This window comes from Homo sapiens, chromosome 1 (assembly GCF_000001405.40).
Source record: "Homo sapiens chromosome 1, GRCh38.p14 Primary Assembly".
Classification (NCBI taxonomy): Eukaryota; Metazoa; Chordata; class Mammalia; order Primates; family Hominidae; genus Homo; species Homo sapiens.
The window spans coordinates 214,500,316-214,515,895 of record NC_000001.11 but is presented as its reverse complement, the minus strand read 5'-3'; the positions used below and the strand labels follow the sequence as shown (position 1 = coordinate 214,515,895).

The 15,580-nt window shown below is 41.1% G+C and overlaps 1 protein-coding gene across 5 annotated transcripts in view, besides 2 other annotated features; it reads left to right on the top strand.

The window, feature by feature from the left end:
• Positions 1 to 15,580, top strand: part of PTPN14 (protein tyrosine phosphatase non-receptor type 14) — a 202,903-nt gene that overhangs the window by 35,707 nt on the left and 151,616 nt on the right. The window lies entirely within an intron of this gene.
• Positions 1,056 to 1,350: a silencer, noted in NCBI's record as "tiled region #6950; K562 Repressive non-DNase unmatched - State 21:Repr". NCBI's record gives its function as "represses a minimal TATA promoter and a strong SV40 promoter by Sharpr-MPRA in K562 cells {active_cell/tissue: K562}" and the evidence as "EXISTENCE:reporter gene assay evidence [ECO:0000049][PMID:27701403]".
• Positions 9,915 to 10,892: an enhancer, noted in NCBI's record as "H3K27ac-H3K4me1 hESC enhancer chr1:214678347-214679324 (GRCh37/hg19 assembly coordinates)". NCBI's record gives its function as "activates a minimal SCP1, AML or CMV promoter by ChIP-STARR-seq in naive H9 embryonic stem cells {active_cell/tissue: H9 hESC(naive)}" and the evidence as "EXISTENCE:reporter gene assay evidence [ECO:0000049][PMID:30033119]".

Sequence of the window (15,580 nt, the reverse complement as noted above, 5' to 3'; positions counted from 1 at the left end):
AGTGAAATAGCAAGATATTTCTCAAGAGAAGGAAGTAGAAAGGAAAATCCCTTTTATGGGATTAAAAATTCAGTAAGTATCCTGAACTCAGTTTTTTTTTTCTTTTCTTCACATTTGAGAATCATTTGTTTTTATGCTAGCAATAGAGAATGCTAAGACGAAATTCAGAAAACAATTCCTGTTGCAATAGCACTAAAAATGTTGAAATATTTAGAAACAAATTTCTCTAAGGAGGCACACTGAAAAACCACAAAACGTCAATGACAGAAATATCAGATTTAAATAAATGAAAAGATATTCCCTACTTATGAATTGGAAGCTGTTATTAACATGATAGCACTACACAAAGCAATATATAGATTCAGTGCAATCTTTACTAAAACCCTACTGGCTTATTTTTTTTTCTTAAATAGAGAAGCTGATCCTAAAATATATATAGAATTACAATATACCCTTAGTAGTCAAACAGTCTTGGAAAAAAATAGGAAGACTCACATTTTCTAATTTCAAAACTCACTACAAATCTCCAATAAACAAAAGAGTGTGGTGCTGGCAGGAAGATAGACATATTATCGTTAAAAAAAAAATAAGTGCCTAGTGGATAGTGGATACTTTTACATCTAAGAGTATTTTTTCTCCCAAATGCTGAACTCAGTTTTTAAAAACTCCATTAACTAATGTGTAAATTTTTCATTGTCTTTAATCACTGAAATAAGGCTTTTTTCTACTTACGGAGGGATTTCTCTCCTGATTTATTGATAGTTGACTGGTCAAAAGGCATGGAAAAGCTGCCATTCCCTGGGCTCTGTTGCCATTTGATTTATTTAGAAGATGTAATAGGAGGAAGAATTTCTGTTCTTGCTGTTAGTCCTGCTCGGTCACGGCAGTGGATGATGGAGAGAGATGGATGCTTGTTTATTGTCGGCTACAGGAGGGGAGCTGCCAGGCGACCGAACAAAGTTCTGCTTAGTATGTGACTTGTACCGATGCCTCCAGTGCCTGCTCTGGTCCACATGCTGGGTTTAGGGGCTCTCAGATTCTCTGCTTTGTTCAATTCTCTCAACAGTTCTTATTTCCCTTCTAAAGAGGAAGGACTGGAGGGCACACTGCAAGTCTCTTTTGCAGCCTTAAATGTGTGGTGTTGCACAAAGTGGTTTGAGCTGGGGTCATGGGGTGAAGGCTTGTTTGGATGATGGAGGAGTTGGCACACATCCTCAGTATTATTTTCAGTAGTATGGGGACTGCCTGAGTCAGCCCCGCCCGCCTGCCCGGGAGCACATTAAAACTCAGGCACCAGCACCATCGAGGGGGGACCCCAGGCTCAGGGAATCAGACTGTCTAGTAGAGAGAGTCTGGGAATCTGTTGGCAATCTGCACCTTTACAAATTCCCTGGTGCCTTTTCAGTTGTAAAACCACTGGTTCATACTTTCCTATCCATAGAGGACTGCTCTAAGTCTATATGGCAAATTTGGAAAATCTTCCCTCAAATGCTGCATCTACGGGATGGTGGGTGAGTGGCCCAGAGCAATTCTTATGCATCAGTAGGACCCATACATGCGGCATGTCTTAAAATCATAGTCGTGGCTTCATGATATCTTTGTAGAGCGTTTGAGGGCTTTCAAGCACTAGGTTTATTGCCTTTTAAAATAGGGTGTTTTATCCTGTTTGAGGACTACCTCAGACTGTTAATTTTGCCCCCTGAGGTTATATGTTGACTCTGCCCGCTGCTCTGGAATTTGTAGCCTGGGAGCATCCAGATGGTAAAAGACCCCCTGGAGTTACTGAGTCAACTTTCAAAATTATCCTGGATTTAAAAAAAGACAAGGAGAGAAAAAAGGAAAATTGAGGGAGGGGGAGGAATGGTACAAGAAGGGGACCTTTCACAATTGGGCAGGCCCTGAAATTCTGTCCCTATTTTAAGTATTTTTCTTGCAATCCTGCTGCTGCTGCTGCTGGTTCTAATGATGGTGATGGTGAACAAGAGTAATAACACAGCAACCAAAAATAATAAAAATATCAGGAATTTAATGAGAATCGACTTTTGCCAAGCACTGTGCTACCCACCTTGCACACATTATCTCATTTAATCTTTATGACAACGCTATGAAATAGATACCATTATTATTGCCCCCATTTTACCGATCGAGAAACCGAGACAGAAAAAATATAGCTCAACTGACACAGCTAGCAGTAGCAGATGTGGGATTCGAACTTTGTGAAATCTGACTTGGAAGCCCAGGCACAAGATGGAATGCAGGTTAAAAATCCAAATGCCTATGGGGCTAGGCAGGAAGAGTAAATGAGTAAAGCACACCCGTAGCACACAGAGAGTGGTGGGACTGTGGCCAAGAAGAGAATGCTTGCCCTGTCAATGAGGGTAGTCAGTTAAGTCCTAGATAATTGTGCCTAGACTGAAATTCAGGCCAGTGCTATCAGATTTTTTTTTTTTGAAGAACTAATGGAAATCAGTATTTTTATGTGAGATATTTTGATGTTTAAATGGTGGCAACATGTTCAAATTTTTAAAGAACACTGAGCCAAACAAACATCAGATTGTAAGCGGGGTCTTAAATCTGTTTTGTTTACTTCCACTTGCACAGCATCTAAAACAGTGCTTGGCACATAGTAGGTACTAAGTACATGCTTGTTGAACAGATGATTGAATGAATATTTGTGGACTGCATTACACTTACAGGCAGCCAGTTTCCAACTTTCCTACTGCTTCCCCCAACTATCTTTTAGGTTTTTCTGCTGCTTCCTATCCCAGACCAGATCATTTTTCATTTTTCAGCTAAGTATATAGACCATGTGTACTTCAAAGGTTACATCCTTCTAGTTTGAATTGGTGTTTGGACCAGGATTCTTGGTGGGGATTTTAAAATTGATTTAAAAACTTATTTTTTGGCTGGGTGCGGTAGCTCATGCCTGTAATCTCAGTATTTTGGGAGGCTGAGGCGGGCAGATCGCATGAGTCTAGGAGTTCAAGACCAGCCTGGCCAACGTGGCAAAAACTTGTCTCTACAAAAAAACACAAAAATTAACCGGGCATGATGATGTGCGCCTGTGGTCCCAGCTACTTGAGAGGTTGAGGTGGGAGGATTGCTTGAGCCTGGAGAGAGAGGTTGCAGTGAGCCAAGATTGCATTACTGCACTCTAGCCTGGGCAACAGAGCGAGATGCTGTCTCAAAAAATAATACGTATTTTTTTAGCATCTAAAAACATTGTAGTGAAAAACACATAAAATTTTTTAAGTGTGCAACTCATTAGTTGTGCTGCAATCTCCAGAAATTTTCATCTTGCAAAACTGAAACTCCACCCATTAAACAACACCTCTCCATTTTCTCCTGCCCTCAGCCCCTGGTAACCCCCATTCTGCTCTGTTTCCATGAACTTGACTACTTTAGATAGTTCATATAAATGGAATCATACAGAATGTGGCTTTTTGTGACTGACTGATTGTGTCAGTTGTACCCAAGGGATTTTAATTTTATTAAATTTCCTAAGAAGAAGGAGCATGCCAAACCCTATAGGGCCACATGGAGAAGCAGCAGGATTGGTTAGGAGGCAGAAGGAGTGAGGGGACAGCCTAGGCCAAACCCTTATTTTGTTTTCCTTAGGAAAGGTGAGGTAGGACAGGGTGAGCAGCTAAGACTGGCAAGTTTGAGTAAATCTGGTAGGCTGTGGGGTACAGCAGTCTGGTGGGTGGCCCTGGGTGGATTTAAGGCAAGATGGAACACTGGCTTTTGATAAAGGAGATGGTTGGGGGTGTGGGCACTGAGTTGGTGAGTTTGCCTGTGGAAGATGTGCTGGGGCAGGGGCCTCAGAATTTACTAGCCCTCTAAGAATTGACTAGCCCTGGGAGATGCAGCCTTTCCCCAGTCAGCAAGGCCACAAATCTAAGACCATCGAGAAGGCAGAAAATAATACAATGTAGTTTATAGCAACTGGCCCTGTGATGGATGCCAAACAGAGAATTATAGAATCTAAAAAAAGACAGAACACTTAATCCACTCAGCATAATATCCTCAAGGTTCATCCATGTTGTAGCATGTATCAGGATTTCCTTCCATTGTATGTATAGACCACAAGTTGTTTATCCAACCATTCATGTGTTGATGGACACTTGGGTTGCTTCCACCTTTTGCCTGCCATGAATAATGCTGCTGTGACATGGGTGTGCAAATATCTCTTCAAGACTCTGTTTTAAATTCTTTTGGGTCTATACTCAGAAAGAGAATCCATAGATCCTAAGGGAATTCTGTTTTTAATTTGTTAAAGGTACTGCTGAACTGTTTTCTGTAGCAGCTGCACCATTCTGTATTCCCACCAACAGTGCACAAGAGTTCCAATTTTTCCCACATCCTCGCCAACACTTGTTATTTTCTTTTCTTTCTATTTTTTTTTTTTTGATAAGGGCCATCCTGTGAGGTGATACCTCATTGTCTCACTGTGGCTTTGATTTCTACTGATGATTAGTGTTGCTAAGCATCTTTCATGTGCTTATTAGTGATGCTTTTGTATTTTACAATTTGGTAGTCTGTGTTTTTAAATTGAGTCACACAATTTAAGTGTGAGTTTTGAAGAGTTATAAAAACGTATTTTTTATTAGTACCTTTTGTAGTACGGGAAAGTCTTCTCAAGGTGATTGCTTTTTTGCACAGAGAGGCAAAAGGTTATCCATTCAGCCTAACTTCAGAAGCTGTTAAAGAATCAGCAACTAGCAGTGGCTTATGCCTTGTAATCCTAGTGACTTGGAAAGCAGGAGGATCACTTGACACCAGGAGTTTGAGATCAGCTTGGGCAACACAGCGAGATGTGGTTTTAAAAATAAAAAAAAAAAACCAAAGACTTAGTTTGGCCTGGTGGCATGTGTGCCTGTAGTCACGGATACTCAGGAGCTGAGGTGGGAGACTTGCTTGAGCCCAGCAGTTCGAGGCTGCAGTGAGTTGTGATTGTGCCACTGCACTTCAGCCTAGGTGACAGAGCAAGACCTCATCTCTTAAAAAAAAAACAAAACAAAAAACAAATTGATAACTATACCTGGGGACTCTGGCCTCTGGCTTTAAGCCAGATCTTGGAGGACAGATCATTCATTCACAGAGGACCTACTGTGTGGTAGCCAAGGCATAGAACTGCCCAGACCAAGTCCAAACATATGGAGATGGTCTCTAGCTATGTGTCCAAAGTAGAGGGATTGCCTTACCTCCTGAGAGCACTTCTCTATGGAAGCTGATTAAACTTTTTGGGGTGAGATTGGGAGGGCAAATCAGGTGAAGGAGAAGTAGAACTGAGTGTGAGTTTTTATTCAGAAAGCTGAACCATCTGATAATGGCAGAGTTTAGTGTATTCAGAAAGGATTGAAAAACTAAAGTGGACCTATAGGAAAAGTAAATAAGTGATCTTTGTATTTCATTGCAATGTCATTACAGGCATACACCATTTTATTGCGTTTCACAGGTATTGCTGTTTTCTTGTATAGATGGAAGGTTTGTGACAACCATGCATTGAGCAAGTCTGTTTTTCCAACGGCACGTGCTTACTTCAAGTCTCTGTGTCACATTTTGGCATTTCTCACAATATGTCAGACGCTTTCATTATCTTGATATCTGTTAAAGTGATCTGTGATCAGGGATCTTTGATGTTAATGTTGTAGTTGTTTTGGGGTGTCACAAACTGTGCCACATAAGATGGCAAACTAAATTGATAAAAGTTGTGTGTGTTTTGACTGTTCTATGGCCCAGCCACTCCCTCCCTTATCTCTCCCTCTCCTCCCGCCTCCCTATTCCCTGAGACACAACAATATTGAAATTAGGCCAATTAAGAACCCTACAGTTACCTCAGCAACATCTAGAAATGATTAAATTTAGTGAGGGAGACATTGAAAGCCAAGATAGCCTGAAAGCTACCTGAAAGGCCCCGGTGTGTGATGTTCCCCACCCTGTGTCCAAGTGTTCACATTGTTCAATTCCCACCTACGAGTGAGAACATGTGGTGTTTGGTTTTCTGTCCTTGCAATAGTTTGCTCAGAATGATAGTTTCCAGCTTCATCCATGTCCCTACAAAGGACGTGAACTCATCCTTTTTTATGGCTGCATAGTATTCCATGGTGTATATGTGCCACATTTTCTTAATCCAGTCTATCATTGATGGACATTTGGGTTGGTTCCAAGTCTTTGCTATTGTGAATAGTGCTGCAATAAACATACATGTGCATGTGTCTTTATAGTAGCATGATTTATAATCCTCTTGTGCCAGTTTGCTAAGTTGTGACTGAAAGGAAAAGTTCTTGAAAGAAATAAAAATTGCCACTCCAGTGAACCACATGAATGATAACATGTGCAACAGCAACAGCAAAACAGCCTTATTGCTAATAGGGAGAAAAATTGAGTGGTCTGGATAGATTGAACCAACCACAAACTTTCCTTAAGCCAAAGCCTAATCCCGAGCTAAGCCCTAACTCTCTTCAATTCTGTGAAGACTGAGAGAGGTGAGGAAGCTGCAGAAGAAAAGCTGGAGCTAGCAGAGGTTGACTGATGAAGTTTAAGGAAAGAAGCTGTTTCCATAACATGAAAGTGCAAGTTTAAGCAGCAAGTGCTGATGTAGAAGCTGCAGCAAGTTATCCAGAAGATCTAGCTAAGATCACTGATGAAGGTGGCTACACTAAATAACAGATTTTCAATGTGGATGAAACAGCCTTTTCTAGAAATTTCATAGCTAGGGAGAAGTCAGTGCCTGGCTTCAAAACTTCAAGGGACAGGCTGACTTTCTTCTTAGGGGCTATTGCAGCTGATGACTTTAAGTTGAAGTAAGTGCTCATTGATCATTCCCCAAATCCTAGAGTCTTTAAGAATTATGCTAAATCTACTCTACCTGTGCTCTGTAAATGGAACAACAAAGCCTGGATGATAGCACATCTGTTTTCAGCATGGTTTACTGAATATTTTAAGCTCACTGTTGAGACCTACGGCTCTAACAAAATTTCTTTCAAAATGTTATTGCTCATTGACAATGCATCTTGTCACCCAAGAGTTCTGATGGAGATGTATAAGAAGATGAACGTTGCTTTCATGCTTGTTAACACAGCATCCATTCAGCAACCCATGGATCAAGGAGTAATTTCGACTTTCAAGTCTTATTATTTAAGAACTACATTTTTTAAGGCTATAGCTGCCGTAGATAGTGTTTCCTGTGATGGATCTGGGCAGAGTAAATTGCAAACCTGGAATGGATTTACCATTCTCAGTGCCATTAACAACATTCCCAATTCACGAGAGGAGGTTAAAATAATAATAACAGGAGTTTGGAAGACATTGATTCCAAGTCTCATGAATGATTTTGAGGGGTTCAAACTTTAGCAGAGGAAGTAACTGCAGAGGTGGTGGAAATAGCAAGAGAACTAGAATTAGAAGTGGAGCCTGAATATGGGACTGAATTGCTGCGGTCTCATGATAAAACTTGAAAGGATGAGGGTTACTTTTTATGGATGAGCAAAAAAAGTGGTTTCCTGAGATGGAATCTACTCCTGGTGATGATGCTGTGAACATTGTTAAAACGACAAGAAAGGATTTAGAATATAACATATACTTAGTTGATAAAGCAGTGGCAGAGTGTGAGAGGATTGACTCCAATTTGGAAAGATACTCTACTGTGGGTAAAATGCTGTCAAACAGCATTGGGTTCTCCAGAGAAATCTTTCATGAAAGGAAGAGTCAACTGATGTGGCAAACTTCATTGTCTTTATTTTAAGAAATGGCCATAGCCACCCAACTTCCAGCAGCCACCATGCTGATCAGCAGCCATCAACATCAAGGCAAGACCCTCCACCAGCAAAAACATTAGGACTTGCTGAAGGCTTAGATGATCCTTAGCCTTTTTTAGCAATACAGTATTTTTTTTTTTCTTAGAGATAGAGTCTCATTATGTTGCGCAGGCTGGTGTGCTGTGACTATTGACAGGTTCAATCATAGCTCACTGCAGCCTGGAACTTCTGGGCTCAATGGATCCTTCCGCCTCAGCCTCCTGAGTAGTGGGGACTACAATAAAGCATTTTAAAATTAAGGTAACATTGGCTTTTTAGACATGATGCTTTTGCACACTTTATAGACTAATAGTGTAAAACAAACATAACTTTTATATGCACTGGGAAAGCAAAAAGTTTGTGTGACTTGCTTTATTGTGAGATTCGTTTTATCGCAGTGGTATGGAGCCAAACCCACAATGTCTCCGAGATATGCCTGTAATTGATATTGACTGGAACAAAAGAAAGTTGATTACATCAGTTTGGTGCAAACAGTGGTCATGTCTACTGTCCCCAAATCCTAGAGAAGAATAAATTTAACTCTGTGACAGCTGATTTGTAGTTTCATTGTTAAAAGGTGTTCTATATATGTCTTGAAAGTGTTCTTCTAGGATGAGCTATACTGACTCAGGATTAATTATAAAAAGGTATATATGCTGTGTCTTGACTTCTGAGATGTCCTTTACTGATAGAGCATGGATGCAGGATTAATCAAATCTGTAGCCTTAGAGACAGGAGGCATTCCTGCCTTTCTGGTTTGCAGACATGGAGGGCTGAAAAGGATGGGGGTGGGGCATGGTAGTGGAGATTGTTAGCCAGTGGGTTAATGGTTAATCCCTGCAACATGCCAGAGATACACCTAATCTTTGATGAGACCTACTGCTCAGAATGAATAATGGTTAACCATTCCTTACCTTTGACTAAGACCATATACCTTTCATAGTTTGTTTTTTAAAGTATGTGGAACTGTGAAGTTTTTTTTTCTTTTGCAAATAACATTTGCATATCACAGAAGTTTTATGACTCATTCTTGGTAAAGAAAGCAGGTGATATCCATGAATGGTTTGTCATCTTTTAGAGACGAGTAGAATGATTGCTATCGAATTTTCATTTAACTTAAACACAGCTGTGTAGAGACAATATAAAGTGGTCCTTTCCTCAGTACAAAACATGGAAAAAAAAAAAAACCCGCGCTCTTGTTAGCAGATGTTAGTGTGTTATGCTGCACATGCCACCGAGACATTCTTGTTTATGAGGACCAGTCATCTGGACTGGAAAAAGATTTTTGAAAGAAAATAAAGGGAGCAAAGAAAAATTCGAGGTCTCCCTCCCCTCACAGGGGCTGTTTTGTGCTGGGTGCAGCGTCAGTTATGTGATGGCTGACTCCAGGGAGAGAGCCACCTGTATCCCTGGTTAATGAGCATTGGCCACCTGGCAGAACCCCACTACCACGAAGATACAGTTTCACTTTTACCGTTTGTCACATCCAATTAAAGGTTTTGGCATTCTTGCCTACTTAAAAAACATTCTGTAAACATTAGAAATAGTTTTTATATTTATTTATTTATTTATTTTCTTCTTTTAGACACAGGATCTCTATCTTCCAGGTTGGAGTGCAGTGGCACCATCACAACTTACTGCAGCCCTGAACTCTGCAACTCAGGTGGTCCTTCCGTCTCAGCCTCGGGAGTAGCTGGAATTATAGGCACATGCCACCAACACCCAGCTCATTTAAAAAATTTTAAAAAAAAAAATTTAAGAGACGGGGCCTCCTGTGTTGCCCAATCTGGTCTCGAATTCCTGACCTCGAGCAATCCTCCCACTGTGGCCTCCCATAGCATTGAGGTTACAGGGTGTGAGCCACCGTGCCTGGCCAGTTTTTATATTTAGGAAAAAAGCTAGCGGAAATTGGCTCTTCCCAGTTCTGAGAAGTTTTTCGATTAATGCTATTGATGATTCCTAACTTGTTATCAGTCTTAGTTTCCTTTCCTTAGTAATCGAAGGAATTGTCCTTGGCTTCCCTTCTTCATAGTAATCTCACTGCTGCCTAAGCAGTGGATGCATGGTTACGTGGCCAGTGTCTCTCTGTCTCTGTGTCTGGGCTTAGGTTTACCCTGAGAGAGTTCATTGTAAATCTGTGCTGAACTGACTATTCGCTCTGAGTTGGAATATTTTCTGCTTATTACAAACTCGATTTTTTTGAGACAAAGTCTAACTCTGTTGTCCAGGCAGGAGTCCAGTGGCACAATCATAACTTACTGCAGCCTCAAACTCCCAGACTCAAGTGATCCTCCTGCCTCAGCCTCCCCAGTAGCTGGGACTACAGACACATGCCACCACCTCGGCTAATTTTAAAAAGTTTTGGGAGAGGTGACGTCTTGCTGTGTTGCCTAGGCATGTCTCAAATTTCTGAATTCAAGCAATCCTCCAGCTTTGGCCTCTCAAAGTTTTGGGGTTACAGGCGTGAGACACTGCACCCAGCTGCAAACTATTAAGAAAAAGTAATGAAAGGCTGAGCTCTTTTCTTTGTAGCTAAGCCTCTTGAGAAAGTTCTGAGGCTGCTGCATCTCCCATTCCGTCCTCAGCTCCTTACATCGCAGCTGGCAGCTCCACCACTGTGTGGGCACTGACCACCCCACCCCCCCGAAGGGACCAGCCATCTCCTGTTGGCCATGGTGAATGTTTTTCAGTCCTTATCTGACCTCCCTTTGGAATTGGACATTGACCAGATCCTTCTCCTTGAAGCGTTACCATCTCGGGTAGTCCCCTGCTCGAGATGTTTCTCCTGCTTCCCTGGGTGTTCCCTTTCACTGTTTGTTGAAGGTTCTCCTCCTGCTGGTCACCCATTGAATGTAGGTGTCAGGTGTCATCTAGCATTGGATCCCATGTCCTCCTGTCACACTTTTTTTTTTTTCCCTGGCGGGTATTCACAGCTGGGTTTGTTCACATGACCGCCACAATGAACTCATATTTAACTCAGACCTCTCGTTGGGGGCCCCCAAATTTCAACTGCTTGTCAGGATCTTTCCATGAGACTGGCCACAAGTATCTTAAACAGAGAATTCTTAGACAGAATTCATCTACTTTTTCCTTAAACCTATCTTTTCTCCTATATTCCCTACCTTGGTGAGGGTGTCACCTCTGATGAAGTTAAACACACTGGGGGTTTGGATCAACCTAAACTCATTTTCCTTCACCCTCTTTATGCAGTAAGTACCAAGTCTTTCCTGTTACTCTAAGGTAGTTCCTTTTTCCTAGTCCAAGCCAGTCCTACTTGTCTGCAGATTCAGTATGTTACCTTACCTCCTGCAGGAAAATTCCCCAGCATTCTGTACCCAGCCCTTATCCTGGGATTGGTCTCCCCTCGATTAAGCTCATTCAGGCTGGTGCCTTGCCTCATTCACCATCATTTCCCCAGGGCCTAGCAGGGTGGTGCCTTGGAAATAATTTAATTTGGTGGAAGTGTCTTAGTACGATTTCATGGCTAATGGGTGTGCTACTCTTGTCATTCAGAGATGGGGCTGGGACATCACCTCTGTGGACATTGTGGTCCTAAGAGCCCCGTTCCTGGGTGCCTGCCATTTGCTTGCGTCAAGTTGGACATGACAGCTACGGGAAAATGATTGAGGGCAGAAGGCAGTTTTGGTGCGACAGGAAGAGCACAGGCTTCCAGGGCTTTGCTGTAAGATCAGGAGAGAATAATGCATCAGAAGTACCTGATGCTGAGTCTGTTCTCAGGAATGGTGTGTTTGAGGCAGCTGCCCATTGCCCGGTGCTTGCCATGTGCTTGGATGCAACCATGGCTAAAAGGTTTCCTATCTGGCTATGTGGTGATTGACTGTGGGTCGCCTTCCTATGGTATTTCTGACTCCTCGAGTGTAATATAAAGGTCTTCGCAGAGGTAGGGCTAACGGAGAGGCAGCGGCAGTTGTTCAATGTTCTATAATGTAAATTGAAAGATTTTTCTTTAGTTTTAAGCTGAGTTTTCCACATTCTCATTACTAGTTGGGGAGGAATGGGAAAGTGGTGACATTATTCGCAGCATTCCTATGACCATTCTCTGGTTCTACAGAAGAGGTGTGTTTGAGGAAGGCACCCAAGTTTCCTGACTATTTCTCACACTTCTCCATCACAAGAAAGCCCTATGTACAAAATGATGAGAGTCCCAAGAAGCATCATTTGCTCTAGGCTTGTCCTTACTGTGGAAGCTCAGAGACTCACCTTTGATCTAAAATAAATAAACAAAAAGCCATAAGGCAAACCTTATTGAAGTAGGTGATGTCGGGTGTGTTTGCTGCTGAACGCATACAAACACTTTATATGCAGATAAAATAAAATGACTCACAACATTGCTGACATTAGTGTGTGTTCTTCCTGCAGCTAAGTACATCATAGGATTTTACCGAATTACACCGACTAATTGTTTATTGACCAACATCACACTAGTGGGATCACAAGACCACATATGACAGTGCTGCACTTTGCTTTGAGAGAGGAAAGGGAAGAATGAACCTGAGGAGAGCTGACTGAAATGTAATAATTCTGTACCGAGATTTGAAGTGAAAATAGAATGCCAATTTTGAGTTTTCTGTTTCTTAAACTCTATTTTAAATGTTTATTTTGTCTTACAAATGTACGTCTACATATTAGACATAAAAATGGAAGCGAGGCAGCTGCCGTTAAATTCTGGCTTCAGTCTCTTCTAAGATTCAGTCCTTCTGATTACTGAGCTGTGTCAAAGATGCCATATCTAAAAAAGAAGTCAACGTCTTTCCTACTTCATCTTCAATACTCACATATACTTAGGACAGATTATCTCTTACATGTCATTAGATATTAGTTTTGAAGATTTAATGAGTTCCTGTAAAGTACTTAGAATAGTGCCTTTCATAATAAATACTGTATAGTGTTTGCCATTTTATTATTGTTATTGCTTATTTTTAACAAAAATTGTATTTAAATTTGCTTGTAGTGACATGTTTCTCCAAGTGTATGCTAGTATAATTTTCACAGTGTGAATTTAAAACTCTGAATCTCTCATTTAATTGGATCTTATCCTTTTGGTTGGAATTTCCTTTAGAGATACTTTGTCAACTTTTGTAGAGTTAGGCTGGTAATATATATTTTCAATAATCAATACTAATAGGTTTTTAAAATGACAGATTTGAGCAACTTTTCACTTAATTTTTCTAAGATCTTCTGCAAAAACTGAGGGAAGCCTGAATACATCCTATGCAAATAATTGACATAAGGATAACACAGTTTCATTTATGTTTTCCCTATTTTTTTCTGTGATATTGTTATTTTTAACATTATTGCGCTATATTTTATTATGGAACACTTTTTTACACAACTAAATCACTCTGTCTTTATTTTGATCATTTGTTCCAAGTCTTCAACATTTTTTCGTAACGTTTAAATGCTAAAACTGTTTAGTTGGCCTCGCACAGTGGCTCCTGCCTGTAATCCCAGCACTTTGGGAGGCTGAGGTGGGAGGGTTACTTGATACCGGGAGTATGAGACCAGCCTGGGCAACATAGTGAGATCCTGTCTCTAAAAATAAATAAATAAAAAATAAGTTGAATGAATATTACAAATATTTTTCAAGACCTGCTGTGTGTTGCACACTATTTGCATATGTTTTTCTTGTTTACCACTCTGAGCTGTATTGTATTATAGGACAATGAAGCTATTTTGCATATAGGAAAACAGGTTTATAAAATGCACATCATTGTTTGGCTAGTAAAGAACAGAGTTGGGTTGAACACAGATCTCTCTCTGTTAATCTCAGGCTCTTAATTATCATGGTAAAACTTTTTCAAAATGACCCTACCGCCATCAGTAGGATGGTGGAATAGGGGGTCCAGCCCTCTTCCCCCCTTAGAAGCACCTATTTAACAACCCTCCAGGGATGAAAAATCTTTATGAGAGCTCCCAAATTCAGTTCTATGCATTAAATATATGCAACTTTTTGTATGTCAATCACACCTTATAAAGTGGTTTGAAAAATAACCTTTTTTTTTTTTTTTTTTTTTTTTGAGACAGAGCCTTGCACCGTCGCCCAGGCTGGAGGGCAGTGGCACAGTCTCGGCTCACTGCAAGCTCCGCCTCCTGAGTTCATGCCATTCTCCTGCTTCAGCCTCCCCAGTAGCTGGGACTACAGGCGCCCACCACCATGCCTGGCTAATTTTTTGTATTTTTTATAGAGACGGGGTTTCACCGTGTTAGCCAGGATGGTCTGGATCTCCTGAACTTGTGATCCGCCGGCCTTGGCCTCCCAAAGTGCTGGGATTACAGGCGTGAGCCACTGCACCTGGCCTAAAAAATAACTTTTGAAGTTATGTGCCATGAAAAATGGATTTAACTTGGTTTTTCTCTATACTACGCCTGGTGATCCCAATTCATTTCCTTAATTAGTGTTTATTGAGCCACTAAATATTGTTTATTATTCCAGGCCCAGTGTTAGGTGGGAGTTCAACAGGAAAAAGAGAGGCATAGGGTTACCTCTGAAGGAATTTATAGCCTAATTGTTCATAGAATACTTACTCTGTTTTGGGCTGGGCGTGGTCATTCATGCCTGTAATCCCAGCACTTTGGGAGGCTGAGGAGGGTGGATCACTTGAGGTCAGGAGTTCAAGACCAGCCTGCCCAACATCACGAAGCCCCGTCTCTACTAAAAAATACAAAAAATTAGCAGGGTGTGGTGGTGGGCACCTGTAGTCCCAGCCACTCGGGAGGCTGAGGCAGGAGAATCACTTGAACCTGGGAGGCGGAGGTTGCACTGAGTTGAGAGTGCCACTGGACTGCAGTCTGGGCGAAAAGAGCGAAACTCCGTCTCCAAAAAAAAAGAATACTTACTCTGTTTTCATGGATTAAGTTTTCTGTGTTTAACCAGCTCTCACATGGCTTAATAACAGTCACACTGTAACATTATTAAAATATGAAAAGACGAATTTGGCATTTTACCCAGCTCCATGAGACGAATTGCGCTATTTATCACATTATTCCTTGAACTTTGGTGTTGCCTTAAAATTGTACAGCCTATCAATGAAGAATACATTTTTATCTTTGCTATATTTAGTTTTCTCAAGCTGCTCTTGGGCATGGTGAATCTTTTCATTGTTAGTGTTTTACATAGTTTCTAGCAGTAATGAATAATTACGAAGGACCAGATGTTTTTAAACCTTTCCTCTAATGCTCACAGCCATCCTTCCAAGCTAATCTGCCTTTTCTTCATGTTAATGATGAGGGACCTGAGGCTCCACATGCCCCACAGATGTTGTCATTCCAGGGTAGTCAGGGCAGTCATTTGCTGGCTTCAGATTTCTTTCAATAATTTTTTTTTTCTTTTTTAATGAAGACCTTAGATAGGATGTAACAGATTATCCCCTTTTCCCCTTCTGTGAGAGCCAAGGTGCCTTATATCGGTTAAAATCTGGTGAAACCTGTGGTGAATTGATTGTTTCTGTCTGTCCCTCAGTGGTTCTGAAACATTAGGAGGTTGTCCTTGAGAGAAATCTCAGCACTTCACTCAGTGAGCCGATGCCTCAAGCCACTTGTATTTGGAACCATAAAAGAGCTGTCAGTTCACCAAGTTGAAGGAGGAGGGTGTTGGTGGCTTTCTTTGTTGCCGGAAAGATGGATCTGATTATAAGAAGCCTCTCAAGTAGAGAGTTGAATCCAAAGAACTAGGAAAATCTGGGTGTTTAAACAAAGTTTGAGTTGACATGGGATGTTGTTGAGATTGCAGCTTATTTAGGAAGGGAAGGGGGTAGATCTCT